At 34.3% G+C, this 23,328-nt stretch overlaps 1 long non-coding RNA gene across 1 annotated transcript in view; it reads right to left on the bottom strand.

Moving 5' to 3' along the window:
- LOC105374234 (uncharacterized) overlaps window positions 1-20,095 on the bottom strand; it is a 50,070-nt gene extending 29,975 nt beyond the window's left edge. The window contains exon 1 of the long non-coding RNA XR_001741026.1: window positions 19,982-20,095. This is a non-coding gene — a long non-coding RNA (uncharacterized LOC105374234). The remainder of the gene's footprint in view (window positions 1-19,981) is intronic.
- Window positions 20,096-23,328: the final 3,233 nt, after the last annotated feature.

Here is a 23,328-nt window from a genome sequence, read left to right as displayed (position 1 = left end):
ATGAAACTAGACCACCTCTCTCCATATACAAAAAGCAACCCAAAAGGGATTAAAGACCTAAATCTAAGACCTGAAACTTTAAACACTACTAGAAAAAAACATGGGAACAGGTCTGGACATTGATCTTGAAAAAGATTTTATGAATAAGAACTCAAAAACACGGCAACAAAAGCAAAAGTCGACATATGGGAGCATATCAAACTAAAAACCTTCTGAAAAATAAAGAAATAATCAACAAAGTAAAAAGACAACCTACAGAATGGGAGAAAATATTTGTAAACTACTCATCTGACTCAGGATTAACATCCAGAATATATAAGGAAATCTAACATCTCAACAGCATAAAAATAAACAATCCAATTTAAAATGGTCAAATGATCTGAACAGGCATTTCTCAAAAGAAGACATACAAATGGCAAACAAATATAAGAATTAATACTCAAAAAAAAATGCTGGCAAGTATGCAGAGAAAAGGGAACTCTTATACACTGTTGGCGGAAATGTAAAGTAGTACAGCCACTATGAGAACAGTATACAGTTTCCTCAAAAAACTGCAAGTAGAACTACCATAAGATCCAGCAATCCTACTACTGGGCATTTAACCAAAGGAGAGAAGATCAGTATATTGAAGAGACGGTTGTACCCCCATGTTTATTGCAGCGCTATTCACAATACCCAAGATATGGAATCTACCTAGGTGTCCAACAACAGATAAATGCATTTTCAATTTTTGGTATATATACACAATGGAATACTATTCAGTCATAAAAAATAAATTTTGTGGTTCAAGGCAACATGCATAGAATTGGAGGACATTACGTTAAGTGAAATAATCCAGAAACAAAAAGTTAAATGTCACATGTTCTCACTCATATGTGGAAACTAAAACAAGTTGATCTCATGGGAGTGAAAAATAGAACAGAGGATACTAGAGGCTGGGAAGAATGGGGGAAGGAAAGGATAGGGAAAGATTGTTAAAAGATGCAAAATTACAGCTAGATAGAAGGAATAAGTTCTAGTGTTCTATACCAATGTACAATTGGTGAGTACAGGTAATAATAATATATGATATAGTTTCAAATAGCTAGAAATAGGATATGATTAGGTGAAAAGAAAATGATAAATATTTATCAATGAAATGATCAATTTTTGAGATGATGTATATGCTGAGTACCTGGATCTGATCCCTATACATTATATGTGTTGAAACATCACTAAGCACTCCATGAATATGTATAATTATTTGTCGACAAAAAATAAATAAATGGGAAATTACAAAAAGATGGAAGCCAATAAGAAAAGTCACTGATAGAAAACTTTTATATAAACATAAGCCATCATTAAATTTAAATCAACATGGACTTATAAATCAACATGGGATTTATATGCACAAGGTCAAGAACTGAAAGTCGAACATTGGATTTTCCTGTTTCAGAGCCCTTTTGTTTAGCCTGCAACTGGGTTTTCACCAAATACATGAACCCATGGAGCATCCAGCCTTGGTGATATTGCTGACTCTCTTCTCTCTTAGCTCTCATTTTTTTTTCTCCTTTGCCCAATCCATCCTTCTCAGACTATTCCTAACTCCAACTTCGCACTATAATATCCGGCTCTCTTTAGCTCCCACCTTATGAACTCAGCTCCAGAAATACCTTTGAATATACAAAACTGATCCAAATGTTTAGATGAAGGAGCTCTATTAGATGCTCAGGATTAGCAATGACTTTTAGATTTTATTTTAGGGTTTCGGCTTCCTTAAAAGGAAGATGTGCTTTTCAATAATAAAGCTTTTATGTTTACATTAAATATAGAAATTAATAGGCAACTAGTAAGATTTATTTTCAAAAGTTAGAATCTTTACTCAGAACATGGCCCTCAACAATCAGTCACTAACAAATCAGACTGTTAGCATTAATTCTCATAGCAGAATACATACATAAAAAGCCTAAGAAATATTAAAATAATCCATACATAAGAATAGTAGCTATTAGAACATTTATGTTTAATCTTTCCTTAAGCTAATCCACGTGTAAATGCCATGCATTCAGATAATTACAGAGGAAAAGTAAAAATCACATTGTTAAGTCTTTAGTTGACAAAGATAATAACTCTGGGATGCCAATCTGCAGAGGAAGAATCAGAAGAGGCATTTTATTTATTCAGAACATATTCATTGGTAATATTTTTCTGCCTAAAAATATAAAATAACATACTTATTCTGCTAATCAGTATAAAACAAAAAGTTCATCAATAATATTTGTTTCAGTGTTTCAAATTTTGATACAGATCAATCCTTTACATTGTTCTATAAAGCAAACCATTACTTAAATAAAATTTGGAATAAATATTTTCTGTATTTTTCACAAGAAATACTATTGTAAAAGAAGTGTTTGCTTTCTGTTCATGGATCATTTGCTATCTCTAGGGAAAATATCAAATGGTATATTATTTCACTGCAGCACAGGGGACAAGAAAGTTCAGCTAGCCTGTGCTTAGAGGTCTTATATTTTTCCATTAAGCAGCAATTATTCTTAAGTCTCTATTCCTCTTTCATCCTGACCAGTCGCTCGAGAAAATTCTTGGACCCAATGAAAGAATGATAATAGGATGCCAATATTATTGTCTCTCTTTTCATACTATCTTCAATTTTGTGATTTTCTTTACATTTGATCAACCCAGTTTCAACTAGTGCTTCTGAGAATTATGGCTATAATTCTCCACATTATATTCATAGTAATAAAATTTCATTCTTATGAATACTGTTGCCTTCTATGACATTACATTGGGATTTAGCGATATTTTTATTTGTTTCATTCATTAAATTTGGGTGATAATTTTCTAGTAATTTTTTGTTAAATCATCAAATAATTATCAATTAATTAATTGGTACTGGTTGGTTTTTTTAAATGTAACTTATTATGCAAAATGTAAACAAATCCTGGGCTATTTTCCTTAATACAGTCTATAAGTACAACAATAGTTTATTTATTGAATGACAAATTGAATTCGAGAATTTAGAAAATAAAATATCATTTATTGTCATCTCTATTCAACTATTCAACTATAGTTGTACCAATTTGTAACTGGTGAGTAGAAAATAAATCTCCTTTTATTCATCTTATGGTAACATAAACGTATAGACAATTTATACAAACAAGCAAGTAGGCAGTTAGTGGGATGAACTTGGGGAAGATTTATTTAGTCGATCAGTTATAATGAATAGGCAATTAAAATGCAAAACTCTGGTCTACAATATGCACAAAATTAAGTATGAAGCAAGAATACAAATCCACTTTATGCAAACAAACCAAGTTTTGTTTTGAAAAACATTTATCAAATATAACTAGCTAAAAGATGATGCTAAAAGATTTTTGGGATCTAGCAAGTGAGAATAATTCAAATCTATCTTCTTAACAGGCATCAAAATATATAAAGTATTAGTATCTTTGAAGAAAAACAAAATTCATACATAGGGCTCTGTAAAAAACTCTCTGTGCTAAAAGTTGCATTTTCCTTTTATAAAATTTATTTTTACAAGATTTGTGTGAAAAATGGGGCACCTCTTTAAATGCTGCCATATATATATATAATATAGTTATATTATGCTTGGTGAACCTTTTAGGATCCCTATGTCAGAAAACAATACTAGTAACCCTAAGTGGCAATTCATTGATTGTGACGGTAATAACCTGTTCCATTTTGTTTTCTTCATGTCTAGATATTCAGCCCCAAACAAGAAAATGTGTGAATCTTTAAATAGAAAGATGAACAACAAATGACATTGAAAATTTCTGGGAAAATGTGTAATTGTGATTAAACAAACCAATTACACTAACAATTCTATTTTATTAAGCTGACTGTGAACAAATCCTCCTTGAAGGCTTTTTATAGATAGGTACCAATGTTTGATTAGACTGACATTAAATTAAGAGATGAATGAGGAACTGCCAGAGAAGAACCAATCTGTTCACTAATAAAGCCACCAATGTAGAAATAGCCCTGACCTACATAAGTAGAAACAACTCTTCTGCCCAAATTTGAAGTCAGTCATGTTTTAATCACATTAAAGTAATTTTTTTTCTTTAAAGGGTCTCAGCTTATTTTTTCAACTTCTAAATGCATACTTCTGTTCTGGGTCCACAGGGAGTAAAAACATACCTTTTAAAATCATGCAAGGCAACTGGACTCATTTATTTCATTTTCATGGAAAAACTCAGTGTCTACCACCTGCTTTTACCAACAACCCCTTCCAAATTCTTTCTTTCCATTTACCATTATAGCTCTCCGTTAAGCAATAGGGTGTGTAGACCATATTCTAATAAATAAGTTGAATGCCACTATAGTCATCTCCTTTGTAAAGTTAGAAAAATGCTAATATGGCATCATTATTCAGAGACTGAATTCACTACTTGATAAGATGTGGAGGAGTTTAGCAAGCATAAAATTTTCGGAAGAATGAATTCTGGATTATCTGTAAAGTTAATAAAATCTATTGGAGAGGTAGGATAAGGAAGGTTACACCATAGAACATTTGCATTTGCAGAAGTGGGATGCTCTAAGCAAATAGATTTTATGTAATAAAGTGGAAAGCCTGACTGAGCATGAAATGCTCGTGTTATTCTCCTATTGACAATGGGGATCCTTATCCATTATAATGATAGCATGTTTGTGATATTATAATGAGAAAAAGCATATGCAAATAGAAACAATGAATTAGAGGCAATAAAATACTTGGCTTCATAAACTTCTTCATGAAAGGTCAGAGGAAAGGTATAGAAGGGATCTGTGCCACAGGGAATGACATCATGAAAGGTAAGAATTTGACGTGTGTATAAAAGTGTTGAGGTGAGAGTTCAGCTCTGGTTACTGCTGACCTCCTGCTTCTTCCACTGATAGTGGTCAAAATGGTATAGGAAATAAATTGTGAAGTTATTTAGCTAACATGTCTGGTATATTCTACTCACCCAGTTGGTTGCCCAGGAATTAAGGACCGGGGGAAACGGCTGTTCACTTCCACCTCTGGCCCCCTGGGTAAGTTAGCCTGGGATAGTCACAGCTCTTGATATTGTTCTCAGTATTGTTCAGAAGGGTTGGGTGCATGCATAGGGGTAATCAAACATATGGTCAACAGAAAATAATTCAGAAAGTTATTTTTCCAAATTAATTCAATAATGAAATTTTTGCTGACAATATGAAGTTTGATTTATTTATCACCCAGACTCTCCTGAAGTACACAACTCTGACCACAGAGCTTTGCAGAGTATATGGCACCTATGAGGAACTCACTCAAGGCATCCTGCACAAAGAATATCATTGTGTTTCCCAAACTGTCACTGGCTTCCTATTGCTTATGAAATAAAATCGATGCGCTTTATCCCAGTGGATTAAATTAAATACTAAATTGCCTTTCGAACATTGCCTCTCACCTTTTGGTCTTGAAATTTTTGTTCACAACTCTCCTAAAAGAATGTTTAAAAACCATTTATAACCTCATCCATTTTTAAGTTGGTATTGAACAAATTTTACTGTGGGTTTAAAAAGTTACAAAAATGTAATTCTAAATATTATGTCTTTAATAAACATAATAATTTACCATATTATTTTTATATTACTTTATAAGTACCCAATGAAATTTAAATAGTATAGTAGTTTGATAACCACTATAACTTATTTTAAATGTTCTTAAACATTATCTTAACAGAATTTTCACATAACTCATTTTTCTCCTTGAAACTCACATTTTCGTTATTCTCCCTCAGAATTTTATCTTAATGTAGTTTTCTACTTGAAAGTTTTTTATTGATCTTTTCCTATGTTTCTGAAACAACTATCTATCTACATGTATTTTTCCCTGCAGTCACAAGAGACAAAGCATTAAATATTAAATTAGCCAATAATCTGAAATTTTTTGGCAAAAGTAAATGGCAATAATCTTCTAGAAGTCTGAATAACTTTTCAGTGAAATAGAAAAGGCTAAATTACCTCTCATATGTGTTTCTTTTACTCAAATATGTAATAAGCTATTGGAAGTAAAGTTTTGGTTAATTCTTCCTTTTTTTTGAAATCATGCAAAATATGTCCCTGGGATGCAGAGAGAAACACAGGTGGCTGAAATCATTCACCAAGTTCTCAAGACAGATTGTCAAGTGCGAAGAAAGCACTTTAAAGAGATTGGTATATACCAGCATTCTTTTTACAAATCTTAATTATTCTAACTCAAAAGTAGAGAAACATATTATATTGAGCATTGTCATGACTTTTTTGTCTAGATAAAATAAGATGTCACAACCTCCAGTACTTCTTACTATCAGAACCAATCCTCAGGAGAAATGCAGTATTTAACAACATTTAAGATGAAAGAAGTTTGCTTATTAAACAAAATGTGCCATCACCAACTCTGTTGGCCAATTCCACAACATTTATGAATTCCTATCCTCTTCATCCAAGTCATAATATCCTGCTTCTAATGCCAAGCTTTGCATCAACCCAAATATGTATAAGATGGGAAGAAGATATGGAGCCCAACCACAGACTGAAGATACCTTGATTACAGAAGGCTTTGCAGACCTCGGTTATTTCAAACATTTTTGTTTTCTGCTTGGTATCACAGAGTATTTTTACCCCAGTGCAGTATACCAGTAAATTAGAATGAGAGAGAGGTGACCTTTCTTGTCAAAATGGAAGAAGAGTGATTGTTCAAGAGGAGGTAAGAAAGGAGAACCAACACATTTTCAGATGACTTTCAGGAAAGACATAAGTGTTGGGGATGTGAGAAGTGATTTCATTAAATCTGTGGCTGTTAACCCTTGGAAAGCCTCTGTCTACAGCAAGAACACATGTATCTCAGTTTAAAGGCCATGATATAATCTATATTTGAGTGTATTTTGTTGTTGTTGTTGCTGTGTAACAATTTAATACATGCTTAGAAGCTTCCAACACCACCACCCATTTATTATCTCACAGTTTCTGTGGGTCAAGAGTCTGGACACACTTTAGTTGAGTTTTCTCTTCAGGGTCTCTGGTCAGAGTTGCAGCTCATCTAAGATTCAGAGTCCTCTTTTGAACCCACATGTATATTGGCAGACATTTCCCCACAGTTGAAATATTTATGGTGATTTGCTTTTTCTAGGTCAGGAAGAGAGATTTTGTACTGCTCTGAGTTTCTGATTGTTAGACCCACTTTTAAATGACTCACCTGATTAGGTAAGACCCATCCAGCATAATCTCTCTTTTGATTAACTCGAAGTGAACTAATTAGGGACCTTAATTATGCCTGCAAAAATCCCTTCACCCTCTCCATATAATATAAAACAATCAAAGAATGGCATCCATCATATTTGCTAAGCTTTCACCCATACTCAAGGGATAGGATTGCATAGTGTATAAACCCTAGAAAGCAAAAATCTTGGTGCCCAGTTTAGAATTCTGTTTACCATGCATGACAAAACAGAACTTCCTAAACTCCAAAAACTTTCTCTTCATTTACAAACAGGTTTCACATATGCTCTCTTTAATTAAGTGCCCCTTTTCTATTTGCTTTTAGGACCTACTTCAAGTCCCTTCTTTACTACTTCAAGTCCCTTCTTTACAAAGCATTGCAAAGCTTTCCATCCAACACAGGGAGATAGAAGTCATTTCTCCCTTTTTGAAAATTAAAATACTAGTTTTGTTATTTGTATAAATATTTAATTCCCTTTTTAAACAAGTAACTCCTTGAATCATGTCTGATTTATCTTTGCATTGTTTATGAGATCAATGCATTGTACTGATGTAAAATGCACACAAATACATGATTGAGTAAAGGGATAAATTAAAATGTGCCATTGTTTAAACTTGATGATGCTTCTAGCTTTGGCTTCTCAGCCTTTCTCTATTCTTATATCCAGCTGTGCATATGAGTAGGTTATAAATGTATAGAATATAGAGCCAGTGTCTTCTCTATCTTTTCTCATACTTTTTATTACAAATCTCAGTGCTAATTCCTACATGTATGGATGCTCATAACCAAACAGCCTTATCTCACTGGTACAAACTGACCCTAAGATCAACCAAGCATTTGCCTGGTGTAGTTTATGGTAACATGCTTTTTCATTGTTTCAATTTATTTTGAAATGGAGAAAATGCATATTGGTCAATTTTCTGAAGAAAGAGTTAAAGGTGGCTGGGATTCCATGTCTCTAATATTTAATAAGCGTCTTTCTACTACCAGATTTTCAAGGGAAATCTGAATATCAGACATACTACTACAAAATATCATTCTCTTGTGCTGCTGTGGCCACAAACCTTTCTGTAAATTTCCCAGCTCTAGTGAGATGGGTCAAATCACTTGCAAGCCACAGTGAAAATATTAGGCCTTTAGTCTAAAACCTAGAATAAAAGGAAAAAAAAAAACCTTTCTTAAACACTTTATGGTAGATCCAAATCTTAATTTTGGCCCTCAAGATCTTGCCAATGGGATGGCCAAAAGTAATCCCCGGTGGGGGAAAATATCAAAGGAAAGAAAGAATTTTCCCTTTGGGTTTAGAGCAGAGTTCACCTAATGAACACACCGCTGAGCCTTCCTAATGCAATAAGGTCCCCTCTTTTGGGGAGTAGCCCAAAATTTATATATCATACAAAACAAGAAGCCAACAATCAGATCAAGTAATTCCAAAAGGAAGATTCCAAGGGGAACAAGTGATGCAGACATACATATTTTGAGACTCTTCTTCAGGAGAAAAGGGAAACATACTTGCCCTGAATTTATGGGTTAATATAAACTTGAACTTGCCCCATAGCATACCTCACCTTCTCAGGTAGCAAGCGGGTTTGAGGGGCATCTCTGAGAGGTCTCCTACTTGCCTAGTGGCCTGAAATAGCAGGAAATCTTCCTACCTACTTTGTGGATCACGCTTCATTAGAATACCTACTGGTTTTGGTGATTGGTTCCCTCTCTTTTCTCTTTTCTGAAATACCTGTCAGATATACATAAAAAAGTGAATACATCTGGCATTTAGAAAGCCTAAATTGAGATCCTTTAAATTAAAAAGGCCACTCTCTGCTAAAGGAAGGAAGTTACATTACAAGTAACACTCCTTGAGGAAAAAAAAAGAGGCATGCATGCAGAATTTAATGCCAGAGTCTAATTAGTTTTAGACTAGTGCTATAAAACTTAAAGAGGAGCAAAGATAAATATTTCAGCTAATTTCCCTATGTACTGTGAATAAAAGAGCGAAAATGATTCTCAAATTTGAATGTTATGAAGTTATTTGCAAAGTATATTAAGTCAGATCTTCTATGTAATGAAGTGTCTTTACAGTTTAAGAGACTTTCTAGGAGCTGACATTTCTATCATAAAGAACGAGGCTCTTGTGGATTCATTATGACTTCTTGAAACAATCTGAACTATAGACCTTGCTGTCTGCCAGCTGCGGACACATCTACACATTAACTGTGTCTAGGAGCAGCTCAGTGCACAAAGGCTCAAAGTTATTTCCACTGTCATGACCTAAATCTCTGGCCAAGTGATACCATGTTGAAAAGCCTCCTTGATAATACCTGATTTCTTTTTTCTCTTCACACTCACCTAAAGAATTGCATTTAAAAAAAAAAGAAATCAAATTGCATGATAGAAGGTCATTAGATATATGAATGTCATTATGAAACCAATCAATGCATCACTTTCCCTCCTTTGATCAGCTTGAATCCCTTCCTGGGAAGCCCCATAACTCCTTCAGAAGTGGTCTCCTGTGCGTGATTACTTTGACACAATCTAGATGATGCTGTATTAGGGAGGTGAGAAAGAGCAAGTATCAAAACCAAAATTACTATGTATAAGTTTGCAAATGAGCTGATGATGTCCCCTTTGCCACTTTCACTAAGAAGGGAAATATATTGATTTGGAGTTACAGAGATTCTGTTGCTCCTACTTTTACTTTACTGGCTGGTAAATCTATCCAACACATCATTTTAAATAATAGCTATTTTTTTCATTGGACTTTTATAGCTTTTATATTAGTTTGTAGGGTTTATCCCTATATGTTTCTATAGCAAAAGACTGTTTTCTCCTCTAATTCAAAAGGCATCCATGGTTTGTTTTATCCTGGAATAATATGTTTGCTTTATAATGAAAGCATTTTTAAATTATGTATTTATACATTAATCATTGGTTGAGACCATCTTTCTTTCAATGCACAATTTGCTATTTTTATCTGGAGAAGAAAACAGAAACACCTCCTACTAGGCTACAAGTTCCTTGAGGGGAAGGAATCTAGTTCCTAGCACAGTGCCTGGGACATAGCAAGATTTGAGTAAATTTTTGTGAATAAATAAGTGAATCAGTGTAATAGAAATACTTATGATAGCATATATGAATATATACACAATGTTTACAAAGTGAGTTTACTCTACTTAGGAATTAACTGCATAGATTAACTACTGATAGCAACTGACCCAAGATTGGGCCCTCATATATTTGGAAATATGAAATGCAGTTTAGAGATAATCATATGCTATTTTCTACAATTTTTTCAAAATAGAGAGAAAGTTAAGAAAAAAATATGCATAACTTCCAATAATGGAATTGTATAAAGTCATAGCATTTACTCCCTAATACATGTGCAATTTCATTTTTATAATTTCATTTCTATGGTTGTTTTATGCAAGTATTAATATAAAAATTGCCATCAATCCTGAGATAATATAATTAAAATATTTATGTTAACAGCATTCATTCATTCATGAAAAATGTGTTTAAATTGTATCAAATCATATTAAAATGAGTTGTTTTGAACTACCCTTCAATCTTGAGTGTCTGTAATTCCAGGGTTCTGTGATTATTTTTCTCTCTGAAATAGATTCTATCACAAAATAATGAACTTTTTTAAAGACCTGGAAACACATGTCCTTCATCTTGGTATTGTCTTCATCTTCCACCAAAATGTTTATTGAATGAAAAACTGTGAAATGTTAATTTCTAAGAATCAATAAAAGTACTCTAGCCTTGGGATATAAATATGAAATTAGAATTTTTTTAACAATTTGTAAATATGAAATCCATGTATCATTATTTATTGGTTACCCAGAGCAGTATAAGGGTTATGACCACTGTTATTTCATTGTTATGGAAACCATTCCATGGAAGGCAGCCTGTGGGTCAACGGGAAGAGTACTAGCATGAGGCCCTAGAGTCCTGCAATCTGGTTAGAGCTTTGACAGTAACTGTGTGACTTTTGCTTTCTTGTAATCTTATCCACTTAATCTCTTTGAGCCTCTATTTTCTCAAGTGAAGAATGATGAATTGAACCAGATCCATAGTTGTCAATATTTTAAAAATCACAGTCGTTTTTGTTCAAACAAAATCTTTCTTGGAACTTAACGTAAGCAAAACAAGTAATGGCTAAGATTCTGCTGCTTAAACAGGGTGGGTGTTCTTCCACTTCTTCCAACTCACTCCATCTTTACTCATCCGTCTTTCTCATACCCCAGCTTCCTGTGGTAGCCTCTTGAGGAATCGGGGATCTCAAGGAACTCTCATGAACCAAATACTAGACTAGTTCACTGAATCGCTAAAATTCTTCTTGTTCTAAAAGCCTGATTTTAGGAATTAGTGTTAATGTTAGGATAGACTATACCTTCGTAAAATAGAATACAGCCAATAATACTACATGGTTATTATCCATGCGGTTTTTTTCTAAACCATTTATTCTTACACACTACATTTTGAGTATTGTTGGTGGAATAGTGAAGGAGTACTGAGTAGAGACAAGTTATTAAACTTAGTTCTCTTTTATTAATTCAACTCACTGCTCAGCAATGACTGAATATCTTCTTACTTTTACAATTGTAAGAATGGCTAAAACTCTCCAAGTCAGGTCACCATTATGGGATGTTCTGCTGTAATAATAAGCAGAGTCTGGCATCCACACCAAGAAATAAGAGACACTAAAGCCAGTGGAATAAATAAGTAAAACTGCAATAGTGCCAAGGTCCAAGGTGACAAGACAGCAAGTCAAAAAGATCAGTTAACTTTGTGAGACCAGAGGCTGAAACCCAAGAGTAAATTATGAATTCAACATTCAGGACAATAGAGACAGGAGTAAAACAAAATAAATCAGAAGTAAAAGAATCAAAAGAATCTTTTGAGTTATTCCAAAGTCGTGATCTAGCATTTGTGTTATAGCAGGCTGGGCATGCCTGAAAAGGACTGGTTTGAAGAACCAGGAATGGAAGAAACAGATTAAATTTTTTCTATGGCTAAAATGATTATCAAGGGATTCTAAGTGTCTTAAATTTCCCCTTTCCCTGTTACCACTGATCCTCAAGAATTAGTGCTCATTAAATATGCCAATTTAAAGCTCAACTAAAATGAAACCATTACCAGTGGACTTACCAGTGGAAAAGGAGACCCTGTGGCTTCACTGTTCTTTCAGAGGTCTTAAAAGGCAAAAATGCACATGGTTTTCTGGAAATTCTGTCTCTGGGATTTGGAGAATGAAAGTAGCTCAGTACTGATTCTAAATTATGAAACCCCAAATCTGGATACTCTGAACTTTTGCAGTGAATTCAAACCTAACTTTTCCCTCTTTTGTTAATAAAGGCTCTACAAAATGCTCATAAGACTTCACCACTCCTCAAACATCCCTTAACATCGCAGAAATTTAACCAGCTCTGTTAAAAGTGTATATTTTAGACTGGAATATATATTTTGCCCCTCAAGTTATAATAATGTATTTGAGATTCAAAAGAAATAAAAGTGGATTGCACAAAATACAGCTCATTTCCCCAGAAGGTAAATGTTAAGGGATTTTTTTTTTAAGCAGACCAAGTGACTTCTTTCATTTTATATATATATATATATATATATATATATATATATATATATATATATATATATATATGCTCTGCAAGAGCCTTTAATCTCTTCAAGCCTGAATTTTCCTGGTTGAAAAATAAAAAATCAAAATTAAAGTAGTAAAATCTTTGCCTCAATAAGATGTGGAGGTTTCTGGCTTAATTTGCTACCAGGCTAGCATGATAACTGCCTTTGCCTGATTCAGTCTAGGCACACACCCACACACAGTCTGTGATGGTATCCAGATGCAGACACCTACAGGCAACCACCAGAGGCATTCTTTCCAAGAATAAGGCAAATGTCAATGGAGAAAAAAATATAGTGCCTATTTTTCTTTTTTTTTAAACGTCCTAAAAACAGAGCATTCCCTTATTCCTGAAAGAAGGTAGAAAAAACACCCATTTCTCTCTTCCTAGATAAAAATTCCAAGGTCTCTCCTAGTGGCTCTCCATCCTGGCTACATATTAGAAGCCCATGGGGCTGACTTGAGGTAGATAGAATAATCTAAAAACGCCTCCCCCTCCACAACATTGCCATGCTTGGTCATCTGATCAAATGTTAATCTACATATTAATGTGAAAGGATTTTGTAGATACAATTAAGGATAGTTACTAATCAACTAATTTAAAAGCAGGGAGATTATCCTGAATTATCCAGGTGTGCCAGTGTAATTATATGGGCCCTGAAAAGCAGAAGATTCAAAGATAATATGGCAGAAGAAAAGACAGGAGAAGGAGGGCAGAAATGGAGGTCAAGGAAACCTGAAGCACTGGAAGAACTCAACCCATCATTGCTGGCTTTGGAGACGAGGGGCCATGATCCAAGGAGGCCTCAGAAGCTGAATATGATTCTCAGCCACAGCCAGCAAAGAAACAGAGACCTCCCTTTCACTTTTGCATGAAAACAAATTCCACCAACAATCCGAATGAGCTTGGGAGCAGATTGTCTCTGACAGCCTCCAGAAAAGAACACAGCCCTGCCAACAACTTCATATGGACCTTGAGAATGAGCAGAGAAACCAGCTGAGTCCACTGGACTTCTGGACTTCTGACTGACAGAGATATAATATAATAAATTTGTATAGTTTTAAGCCATTAAGCATGTGGTAATTTGTTACAGTAGCAATCCAACAGTAATATGTAGCTTAACTCAAAAAAAAAAAAAAAACTTAGTATAAGGCCAGGGAGCAATGTGTTTTTCAAAAGCTTCCTAGGTCAGTCCTTATCAGATCAATGTACATAGGAATCACATTAATTTGATAAGAATCTGCATTTCTGACATCTTGTGAAAATGTGAAAAGATTCTGATCAGCAGATCTGAGATGAGGCCTGAGAGTTCAAAGAAACTACAGGTGAATGCTGATGTTTCTTGTGGAAGGACCACACATGAGTAGAAAGAAGCTAGATGATTGTAAATTAGCCAAGCTTCTCACTACTTTGTGAATATCACATTTGAAAGTGACCAAGGTACTATTATTGCAGTATTCCCATCTTTCTACATCCATGTCAAGACTGCAAGTTGATGGAGTGGATCTGAAAGCTGAGTGATATAGAAAATGCAGACAGAATATACCTCAGTGGATGTGGCTTCAACAAGCAAACCATAGCAGGCAGGATTTTTAAAACTGACCTATAGCAGGGTGCAAATACATTTTTTTTAATTTTTTTAAGTCTTTAATTGGTATATAACATCATAGAAGGAGACAGTAGAAGTAGTGAAAAATTTCACCACTGCAGAGCAGGATAACAATAGATGAACAGTTAAATTCTTTAGATAATCAGCTGAAGACCTGATAAATGGATTCAGGTAGCAGGTGCTTATGAGAACCACAGGAAATCTGCCTAACCTATCTGAGCAAACTGACTTAATATGATTGTTGCCTCATTTTCTCAAAAAAAGGCAGGGTAGGAGCTGAGCCTATGATAAATTACCAATGAAAGAAAGAAAGGAAGAATCATGAAAATTTAGTAAAAGAGCATAACTCTAAAGATAAGATACTGCAGGACCCTGGAGAAAATTCAAGAAAAATACTCTGTATGCCCACCAGGAGATGATAGACATGGCACCTATATTTAAAAAAAAGATATGGAAAAATATTATGATATGTAAAACAATAAGGTAACTTTTGAGGGGAGCAGTGATTGGAAAGGAACATAAAGGGTGTTTCTGAAAGATGGTGATGTTCTGAGTGTTGATTTCTGAGCTGATTACACAAGTGTGGGCAGAATGTAAAAATTGATCAGAATGTATATTTTGATAAATACACTTTTCTGTACTTATATTTTAGTTCAATACCAAACTGCAAAGGGACAAAAATGACTGAAGAGACAAAAATGAATCAGCAGACAAAAAATAATAGGAAGAGGTACACAGAGCACTCAACGTGGGAATGAACAATTGTAATGACATGAACTACAACAGCAAAAATAAAACCTGAAAATAAAATATTGAATAGTAAAATTAATATTCAGAACTCTAGTGAGCTTTATAAAGTAATTTTTAGAGCCCTCTAAGAATGCAGAAACAAATGAAAACTTTACGGCTTATACAAATTTTCACAGTAAAGCTGATATATAAAATAAAGACACAGCTAAGGATCATAGGTTCTCTCAAGGAGAAAGTTTGAAAAATTTAGGCGTAAGTAGAAAGCACAGATCAAAGCTGAAAATACATTTGCTTTTGTCATTTTAAGCAAACTACCTCCAACTTACCCTAGGCAAAATTTATGAACAAATAGCTCAAACAAGTCATGTTCAAGAAAAAAATAAATATAATAATCAAATTTAAAATCCTGTAAGCATTTAAGAGAAAAAAATGTAATCCCATGAGGACTGAAATGTTTGTATGTTTTTTTCCGACCATGTCCCCAGTGACAAGATTAGAACTTGGCCCAAGGCTTACACTAGTCATTCAATAAATGCTTGTTGAGTAAGTTAAAAGTTATATTTTAAAAATTGTCTATTATTTTTAAAACACAAAAAGAAACAAAGCTTCCAATTTTTCCTTTGCACAATAAATATAGAAGAAAATAAATTTATATATACTCATATTTGAAGGAGGAAATCTCTTTGCAAAGAATGTCATTTGCAATTAAGTTTTTCATCATAGATCAAGTCAATAGAGACACACTTTCAGATGCAGAACGACTGAGGAAATAGATCACTCGACTCTTGGAAAAAATTTCTGAAAGTGTATTCAACTTACTGAAAGGTGATCAACATAAGAATGCGAAACTATGTTTCTGTTCAAAAAGACTGTGATAAGCGCTCAAGCCTGTTAAACATAGAGCTAAACCTAGTTACATTTTTAATATATGGTGTAAAGTAAATATCAAAGGATTTCTTAAAATAAAAGATAGGTAATATAAGAGTGATGTTCTGTGATAATTATCTGAGTCCTAATTACAACACATAAATATAAAGTGAAGCAAGGGAAACATCAGGAATGAGAGGAAAAAGGAATTAAAGTAAAATAAATTTCTTATTTTAATTATGGAATACTTTTAAATGTATCATTTAATTCTTGAGTTTGATGATTTCAGAAATATAGGATATCTGTAATACCTAAAGGTGACTTGTTTCAGAATTATAAAACATGAAACTTGCAAGTCAAAATCACAGAAGAAAGTAAAACTATACAAAATATAATTCATGTATAAAAAGAAAGTAATAAGGAAAGAGTATAAATTATATAGCATTTACAAAAATGAGCAAATTAACCAAAATATCAGGTAGACAATAATAATTGTGAGTAGACTGAACCACCTGTATAAGAGATAGAACTTTTCCCAATGGAAAAAAATCAAACTCAAACCAGCAAAATCAAAGTCTCTTACAAAATAATATGTAAAAATTAAAGTAAGAATAGAGAAGGAAGGCTGGACGCGGTGGCTAACTCCTGTAATCCCAGCACTTTGGGAGGCCGAGGCAGGCAGATCACGAGGTCAGGAGTTCGAGACCAGCATGACCAACATGGTGAAACCTCGTCTCTACTAAAAATACAAAAAGTAGCTGGGCATGGTGGTCCACGCCTGTAATCCCAGCTACTGGAGAGGCTGAGGCAGGAGAATCGCTTGAACCCAGGAGGCGGAGGTTGCAGTGAGCCAAGATTGCAGCACTGCACTCCAGCCTGGGCGACAGAGCGAGACTCCATCTCGGGAAAAAAAAAAAAGAGAGAGAGAGAGAGAAGAAAGAATAAAATATTTATTAACAAACATAGAAAAAAATATATAGGAAGGAGATATTAATCGAGACAACAAACAATTCAAGACCAAAAGATGATTAAATTTGAAAACAGATTTGATAGAGTAACTGTGAATATTTTTAAAGCAAATAAAATAACAAATTTTATAATTTAGAAACTCAAGAACATGTTGAAAAGAAACAATTGTTTCAAACATTAAGTTGAAAACAAGTAAAATGAATTTTGGTTTACCTTGCACACTACAAATTGAACTCAATCCCACACAAAACATGGTTGCTTATGGCCTAGATCTTAAAGCAAACCATCTCTCCACTTCAGACTGATGATTTGCCTGGAAACGTGTTGCTATTACTGCCATAACGGGGTTTGACAGTCTAGAACCTTCTTCAATGCATACTAATTTTAAGGCTGAATTTGCTACCTTCATTAATCATCGGACACTCATTGAAGGCCTGGCCTAAAACCCAGAGCTATGGCACCTTCCTCAAGCATGGTTCCCTTAGGGCTTTTCTTCCCTATCGGCTTATGCAGAGAGCTCCATTATATCTCCAGCCTGTGTCTGCCTGTGTCATGATCAAGATATAAGAGGCTGGGTTTGTATATTTCTTCAAAGCCGACTTTGAAAGATGGGAAGAGCCAGTATAAGATTAAGTCTAAAGAGATGCAATTGCCTCAAAAAGAGAGTATACTTAACAAGAAGACACTAGAATTGCCAAAAATAAGTTTACTTATAACAACAACAACAAAATCTACTTCACATTGAATAAAACACAACTCCTGCCCTCAAATAACTTCCAGGAGAAAAATAAAAACACTTAACCTCATCACTTAAGGTTTATAAAGCATTCTTTTTGTTTTCATTTTTCTTTTTGTTCTTTTATTTATTTGGAAGTTGCCAGCACAGGAAACAGTGGAAGATCTCAGAGTGTCTGCTATCATTATTTAATATTTTATCACAGCATTATTCTCAGCGAAGTGAAAAATATTTTTAGGAAACAGAATGCCAGTGAATTAATTGAAAGTAAGAACTATACCTAAGATCACACAGTTATATTTTAACTTCATTTCTTTAACTATTAATTTTAATTATTTCTCATCATAATTTATACGTCATGTCTATGTGCAAATTGTAGTATTTTATTGACCATTTTTCATTTTCCTTTCATCACTCTATATACCTCATTTTCACACAGCTCATAATAATTTTATATTATGTGTTCCATAATATAAAATGGGATACATTTACTATTAATTACAATATTTACATTGAAATATGGTAGGAGAAACAATATAGCATTCTGTATATCTCTGTTTCTTTCAAGTTACAAATTTTGTTTCTGGGAACTATAAAGCATTCTTAATTTCATTATAGGTAGGTCAATAGCTATTCTTGTTCCCATCTTATAGATGAGGAAAACTGAGACTCATAATGGTCAAGCGACTTACTCAGATCATATAGCTAAGTGCAGAGACAGGAATTGAAATAAAGTCTTCCAAATCTAAATTCACTGCCCTTTTAATTTCTTCATGCTGCCACCTAAAGTATACCTCAGGTACATTGGTTGCCTCATTCATTCTTCTTTGGCTTGCATTGCGGGCAATTAACTTTTGGAGGGAATTCAGAGGGGTTGCTGCAGACAATTGCTATAGCGGCAATTGGTCATAGACTCTTAGCTTTGTGACAGCTCAAGTCAATGACAGGCACAGTACCATGAAATAATTTCTGCAGTCTTTTAGAATAAGGAAACTTCCCCTGAACTTCAGGGACCACAGGGGATCCCACAAAGATTCATTCCATGTTAGGATCAGTCTGCTGGCCTCTGGAGCAGCAGAACCAATAGTTATTACCTGCCTCTCTGCTTCAGTTGAGAGGACTAGCTCTGCTTGTTCTACTACCGTGACAGTAATATTAACTCCAGGTTCCATTTGTGTCTCAACCCCCAGCTCTCAATCCAGCAGGAGTCTGGGCACATGAATACTGATTCTGCACATTGGATTCTGAGTAATTCTTAACTTTTTCAAATTAAGAATAATATCATAAACTTAAAATAATTATATGTATCAGTGGCTGAGCCACCCAGTGAGTCTGCAGTGTGTAAAAAGGTAGAAATGGCAGATCTCTTGGAGATTTGATTCCCAACCAACATCAGTCAATCCTTTTAAGCAGTGAGTAATTTATAAATATCACCAAAAGTGGAAACTGTTTAATTAGAAGTTCTAGATAGAAGAGAAAGATTTGAAAGATATAAGTCCCAGCCAGGTGTTTGAACCCAAATCAATGACCGCACTGTATAAAGGCCCTAAGAAATAATGAACTGCCTTTAATCTTGCCTTTCAGGTTGTTGATCTGAATATATCTCAAGTGAAAAAGGCATTTTAATTTTTTAATTTTTCTCTTTTCAGAGTTCTTTAGAAGAATAAAATGGTTCAGCTTTTATATAAAGGCTCAGGGAATTTTGAAAGAGAGAAAATATCAATACATTCTTTGTTTTTATTCCTAAGAAAAATAAGTTGCCTTTAGATCAAGGACATGAAAGTAGCTCAGATTAGCTAATAAAATATACCATAAAATATTCGTTTCCAAACTACTGTGTTAATTGTCAGAAAAAAAGAAACGTTGATTATAGAATATGATTTCTTTCTCCCAATTTTCAAAGCAAATATATTCACATTTGCTACAGGAATATAATCTAGTGAATGAAGATGGCCAGATGGGACTAATCCTGCTGTTACATTAAAGGGGGCTTGGGTAAAATGGGAAGAACAATTATTCAAGACTCACTGTGGTAAACATATGTATTAACAAAGTATGTGGAGTCAAAATAATGCTGTTAATATTCTTTTCCCTTTATACTTCAAGATAAGGCTTTGATCCAGGTGAGAGGGGCCATTCTCAAAGCCCCACACTTTAGGAAGCACTGCAACATACAACAGAAATGTACTAACCTGTAATACTAAGACTGAAGATCTGCTCCTGTAACACTGCTCGGCTCCAGAGAATGCCTCTCTAGGGCTCTTCACCTTGGCCTCAAAACAATATCATACTGAATGGGCAAAAACTGGAAGCATTCCCTTTGAAAACTGGCACAAGACAGGGTACCCTCTCTCACCACTCCTATTCAACATAGTGTTGGAAGTTCTGGCCAGGGCAATTAGGCAGGAGAAGGAAATAAAGGGTATTCAATTAGGAAAAGAGGAAGTCAAATTGTTCCTGTTTGCAGACAACATGATTGTGTATCTAGAAAACCCCATCATCTCAGCCCAAAATCTCCTTAAGCTGACAAGCAACTTCAGCAAAGTCTCAGGATACAAAATCAATGTACAAAAATCACAAGCATTCTTATACACCAACAACAGACAAACAGAGAGCCAAATCATGAGTGAACTCCCATTCACAATTGCTTCAAAGAGAATAAAATACCTAGGAATCCAACTTACAAGGGATGGGAAGGACCTCTTCAAGGAGAACTGCAAACCACTGCTCAAGGAAATAAAAGAGGATACAAACAAATGGAAGAACATTCCGTGCTCATGGGTAGGAAGAATCAATATCGTGAAAATGGCCATACTGCCCAAGGTAATTTACAGATTCAATGCCATCCCCATCAAGCTACCAATGCCTTTCTTCACAGAATTGGAAAAAACTACTTTAAAGTTCATATGGAACCAAAAAAGAGCCCGCATCGCCAAGTCAATCCTAAGCCAAAAGAACAAAGCTGGAGGCATCACACTACCTGACTTCAAACTATACTACAAGGCTACAGTAACCAAAACAGCATGGTACTACTACCAAAACAGAGATATAGATCAATGGAACAGAACAGAGCCCTCAGAAATAACGCCGTATATCTACAACTATCTGATCTTTGACAAACCTGAGAAAAACAAGCATTGGGGAAAGGATTCCCTATTTAATAAATGGTGCTGGGAAAACTGGCTAGCCATATGTAGAAAGCTGAAACTGGATCCCTTCCTTACACCTTATACAAAAATCAATTCAAGATGGATTAAAGACTTAAACGTTAGACCTAAAACCATAAAAACCCTAGAAGAAAACCTAGGCATTACCATTCAGGACATAGGCATGGGCAAGGACTTCATGTCTAGAACACCAAAAGCAATGGCAATAAAAGCCAAAATTGACAAATGGGATCTAATTAAACTAAAGAGCTTCTGCACAGCAAAAGAAACTACCATCAGAGTGAACAGGCAACCCACAAAATGGGAGAAAATTTTCGCAACCTACTCATCTGACAAAGGGCTAATATCCAGAATCTACAATGAACTCAAACAAATTTACAAGAAAAAAACAAACAACCCCATCAAAAAGTGGGCGAAGGACATGAACAGACACTTCTCAAAAGAAGACATTTATGCAGCCAAAAAACACATGAAAAAATGCTCACCATCACTGGCCATCAGAGAAATGCAAATCAAAACCACATGGATACCATCTCACACCAGTTAGAATGGCAATCATTAAAAAGTCAGGAAACAACAGGTGCTGGAGAGGATGTGGAGAAATAGGAACACTTTTACACTGTTGGTGGGACTGTAAACTAGTTTAACCATTGTGGAAGTCAGTGTGGCAATTCCTCAGGGATCTAGAACTAGAAATACCATTTGACTCAGCCATCCCATTACTGGGTATATACCCAAAGGATTATAAATCATGCTGCTATAAAGACACATGCACACGTATGTTTATTGTGGCGTTATTCACGATAGCAAAGACTTGGAACCAACGCAAATGTCCAACAATGATAGAGTGGATTAAGAAAATGTGGCACATATACACCATGGAATACTATGCAGCCATAAAAAATGATGAGTTCATGTCCTTTGTAGGGACATGGATGAAATTGGAAATCATCATTCCCAGTAAACTATCGCAAGAACAAAAAACCAAACACCACATATTCTCACTCATAGGTGGGAATTGAACAATGAGAACACATGGACACAGGAAGGGGAACATCACACTCTGGGGACTGTTGTGGGGTGGGGGGTGGGAGGGATAGCATTGGGAGATATACCTAATGCTAGATGACAAGTTAGTGGGTGCAGCGCACCAGCATGGCACATGTATACATATGTAACTAACTTGCACATTGTGCACATGTACCCTAAAACTTAAAGTATAATAATAACAAAAAAAACAAAAAACAAAAAAAAACAAAAAGCAACTGGGCTTAAATTCCATGAATGTTTGCTGTGAGGCAGAGGTAGGGAACAGACCCTGCTAAGGAATACCAGAAAGAGTTAAGTGGTGGCAGCACTCAGGTAAAAGACAATAAAAACTCATTCTTCCCCTCAGATAATGTGAATAAAATAGATTCTGGTAGAATGTGAAACAGTTTCCAAGTAATGCCAAGTGACCATTTATCAGTCTTTCATGGTGTTCTAAATCACGTTTCTGGAATTGCCATCAAATTATCATGGTATTTGCAACAGGTGCATATAGTGTCTGAGAAATGTTGAAATATTGTACAATATTAAACAATTTATATTTTTATAAATTTGTGAATATGTATGTATATAAAAACAGGTTACTAATTCTTTATATTGGCAAATAGAATTGCAAATAGTTTTATTTTATAAAAATGTTTTATAAGGTTAAATTTTAAAATTCAGGTGTTAATCATTTTGACTTCAAATTCTAACCTATATTAAATATGAATTTTATTTTACTTTAATGGAAATTTGAAATATTTTTGAAAGAACAATTTTGATAACATAAAACTCTTTCACATTTTCAACTTCTTGCATTTGCTTTAATTTGCATTTTGAAGAATATATATTCACATTCTGTGTACGTTGAATGAAACCTTATTACTATTTTCTAATCTTTGAGATCAATGTGAATTAAAACATCAAATCATAATTGGAATAGAAAATACCTTTGAGCTGAGAAAAGGAAAAAAACTGAAAAAGAAAATATTTAAAACCCCAAAGAAGTTATCTGCTTAACTGTTTAAAAACTGAAAACAAAAGAGGCTTCTGCTGAACATAAATTATATGACATTTTTAAAGCAAAATATTACAAAATAATTTTTAATAAAAAATAAGGATCAAAGTAATGACAGTGAGAAAGAATATTATTTTCATCAAATACAAAACTTGAATTGATCATGTAATTTCTGTACTACGCGAAGATTTTGATTGCTGAGCAAAACAGTGGGAATAAAAAAAAAACATTATTCATATCAATTTCCCAACTCAGAAGCAACAAATACAACTACGGCCTGCCCATTAGGACAAACTGCATTCATGAAATCAGAAAATTTTATTTT

This window comes from Homo sapiens, chromosome 3 (assembly GCF_000001405.40).
Source record: "Homo sapiens chromosome 3, GRCh38.p14 Primary Assembly".
NCBI lineage: Eukaryota > Metazoa > Chordata > Mammalia > Primates > Hominidae > Homo > Homo sapiens.
This window is presented reverse-complemented; position numbering and strand designations above follow the sequence as displayed.